This window comes from Homo sapiens, chromosome 1 (genome assembly GCF_000001405.40).
Source record: "Homo sapiens chromosome 1, GRCh38.p14 Primary Assembly".
Classification (NCBI taxonomy): Eukaryota; Metazoa; Chordata; class Mammalia; order Primates; family Hominidae; genus Homo; species Homo sapiens.
The window spans coordinates 231,283,474-231,287,131 of NC_000001.11; the positions used below are offsets into that span (position 1 = coordinate 231,283,474).

Consider the following 3,658-nt stretch of genomic DNA (forward strand, 5'->3'; position numbering starts at 1 on the left):
CCTTGGCCTCCCAAAGTGCTGGGGTTACAGGCATGAGCCACCACACCTGGCCAGATCTACAAAGAGTTATACCCTTGAGACCACACCTCGCTTGCATGGGAGTTTTAGGAAGTTTGAACTAGCACCTTTTGCATTGTCTGGAACAAAACCAGATAGAGAACAGCTCCTGGGAGTTGGGAAATGGGAGAAACCTATTAGAAGCTATTGACCATGAAACAGCAGGAAGCTTGGAGGAAAGAATATAATTATCTCAGGGGAAAGCAAATGGATTTGGGATCCAGTAAATCCTTTGCTGTTTCCATGTAGATTCTTAAGACTTGAAACCTATGCTTTATTTGGAAACTGGGCCATTTAAATCCTGAGAACAAAAAGGAAACAAATAGCTAATGCGTAAAATTAAACTTTTCTTAGAACGTGCAATCCTAATTCTGCTGTGTTAAATGGAAATGAGTTTTCTGACTGCTTCAATTTGACAGCAGAGACAAAGCAATTTGTTCAGCTTTCTCATTTATTTATTTATTTATTTATTTATTTATTTATTTATTTTTTGATATAGGGTCTCACTCTGTCACCCAAGCTGGAGTGCAGTGGCACAATCACAGCTCACTGCAGCCTCGACCTCCCCAGGCTCAGGTGATCCTCCCACCTCATCCTCCCAAGCAGCGGGTACTACAGGAGTGCGCCACCACGCCCAGCTAATGTTTTGTATTTTTTTGTACAGACAAGATTTTGCCATGTTGCTCAGGCTGGTCTTGGACTTATAGGCTTAAGCAATCTGCCCGCCTAGGCTTCCCAAAGTGCTGGGATTACAGGCATGAGCCATGGTGCAGGGCCTTGTTCAACTTTTGATATCCATGGGGAACTCTCATAGGTAAAATGATTTATCAGTTTCTTTTTTTTTTTTTTTGAGACGGAGTTTCACTCTCATCACCCAGGCTGGAGTGCAATGGCACGATCTCAGCTTGGCAGAGCAGCACTCAGGTATTGCTGGCTAGCTGTGTTCATAGCTACTCCTTATTTATAAGCTAAATAAGGGGCAGGTTATTCATGAATTTTCTACAAAAGAGGTTGGGAGTTCCTGGGACTGAGAGCTCCTCCCCTTTTAAATCATATAAAGTAACTTCCCAGGGCATGGTGGCTGGGACATTTGTAAACTAATGTAAACATTTGCTGGTGGGAGTGCCTTTTCGCATGCAAATACATTCAATTAGCATACAATGAGCAGTGAGGGCAACTAGAGGTTGCTTTTGTTGCTATCTTGGTTTTAGATGGTTTTGGCCAGTTTCTTTTTTTTTTTTTCTCGCTCTGTCGTCCAGGCTGGAGTGCAGTGGCGCGATCTCGGCTCACAGCAAGCTCCACCTCCCAGGTTCACACCATTCTCCTGCCTCAGCCTCCCGAGTAGCTAGGACTACAGGCGCCTGCCACCACGCCCGGCTAATTTTTTGTATTTTTGGTGGAGACGGGGTTTCACTGTGTTAGCCAGGATGGTCTCTATCTCCTTACCTCGTGATCCGCCCGCCTTGGCCTCCCAAAGTGCTGGGATTACAGGTGTGAGCCACCGCGCCCAGCCGGCCAGTTTCTTTACTGCATCCTTTTTGACTAGATCCTGCTTCAATCAGCTGGGTTGTGACCAGTGCTCAGAAAACAAGTCCTGCTGATCTCCTGCCTCAGTGTGATTACGTGAGCAACTTTTGCACAGGAATCCCATGGAAACTTACTGCTGCAAAATCAAGCACAGTTCAAGAAATCATATCAGCTTTGTTATCTCAGCTTCCCCTCATGGGTCTTACAGATGTCAAGAAAATGATGCCCATTTACAAAAGAATGGCCAAAGTCAAAGGAAATAGTCAAGGGACTTGTCCCTGCAGGGTGGAAATTTTCAAATATTAAGAACTGGGGGCTGGGTGTGGTGGATCACCTTTGGGGGCCAAAGCACACTTTGGGAGGCCGAGGCGGGTGGATCACCCGAGGTCAGGAGTTCGTGACCAGCCTGGCTAACATGGTGAAACCCTGTCTCTACGAAAAATACAAAAATTAGTCGGGTGTGGTGGCAGGCACCTGTAATCCCAGCTACTCAGGAGGCTGAGGTGAGAGAATGGCTTAAACCTGGGAGGTGGAGGTTGCAGTGAGCCAAGATCACATCATTGCACTCCAGCCTGGGTGACAGAGCAAGACACACACAGAAAAAAAAAAAAAAAAACTGGGATGGACCGGGCACGGTGGCTCACGCCTGTAATCCCAGCACTTTGGAAGGCCGAGGCGGGCAGATCACTTGAGGTCAGGAGTTCAAGACCAGCCTGACCAACACGGTGAAGCCCCATCTCTACTAAAAATACAAAAATTAGCCAGGCGTGGTGGCGCATGCCTGTAGTCCCAGCTACTCAGGAGGCTGAAGCAAGAGAATCGCTTGAACCCGGGAGGTGGAGGTTGCAGTGAGCCGAGATCGCACCACTGCACTCCAGCCTGGGTGACAGAGCGAGACTCCATCTCAAAAACAAAAAAAAAAAAAACAAAAAAAAAAGAAGTGGGATGGAAAAGCTGAATATTGACGAATCAAAAGAAAGATCTTATCGCAGCACGATGGGAGGCTCAGTGGACTCACAAGTGCCCCTGCTAGTCTCCCAACTTTGAAGCCCCTAAACAGATCCACCCTATTTACCAGAGTTTGCAAGAATTTGAAAGACTGAAGGCAAAGATAAAAATGAGAAATCTGACCTCGAATCACTGGGGCTAGTGATCAGGCACATGAATCAGGACAAAGACTGGTGCAGGGATCAGGGTCCCTTGGCCTGATCCTCAACAGAGATCTGGGGCTTGTGCATATATGTGAGGATAATGGAAATAGGGTGGAGAAAAACTTCTGAGAGTCCTTTCCACAGGATCCCAGTGCATTATGTTATCAAAACCTGTTGGTGAAGTCCTAATTGGGTGACAGTTTGCTAGGGAGCATCTGGGGATATAGAGATTGATGAGATGAAGGTGAAAGTTTGCATGAAAATTGGAACATTAGAACGGACTTCCTGTGAAGTGCTTGTGTATCCTCTACCTAAGTGTATTATTAGATGGAATCATGTCTGACTGGGAGCACTTCCCATTCCTAGTATTATAAAATCAAAGGTATGTAAGTTTGCCCTTCTGCAATCATTAATTGGGCATATTAAATGGGAACCTATAGAATTGCCTGAGCCCGCATAGCTTGTTAATTTGACACAGTGTCAGATGAATCCTGGTAGACAAAAAGAGATTACCACTTTAACTGCTGACATGTTAGAAGTTGGAGTGCTGGTACTAACAAATGTTCTGTACAAATGTCCCATGTGTGGCCCATGAAAAAGGGAAGTGGCTCATCAAGATTGCAGTAGATTTTCCAGGCTTGAATAAAGTAGTATTGGCCAGGTGCGGCGGCGCACGCCTGTAATCCCAGCATTTTGGGAGGCTGAGGCGGGCAATCACCTGAGGTCAGGAGATCCAGACCAGCCTGGCCATCATGGTGAAACCTCACTGCTATTAAAAATACAAAATTACCTGGGTGTGGTGGCATGCACCTGTAGTTCCAGCTACTCGGGAGGCTGAGGCAGGAGAATCACTTGAACCCGTGAGGCGAATGTTGCAGTGAGCTGAGATCGCGCCACTGCACCTGGGCGACAGATTGAAACTC

At 46.5% G+C, this 3,658-nt stretch overlaps 1 annotated feature.

The window, feature by feature from the left end:
* Positions 926 to 1,427: an enhancer, noted in NCBI's record as "NANOG-H3K4me1 hESC enhancer chr1:231420145-231420646 (GRCh37/hg19 assembly coordinates)". NCBI's record gives its function as "activates a minimal SCP1, AML or CMV promoter by ChIP-STARR-seq in primed H9 embryonic stem cells {active_cell/tissue: H9 hESC(primed)}" and the evidence as "EXISTENCE:reporter gene assay evidence [ECO:0000049][PMID:30033119]".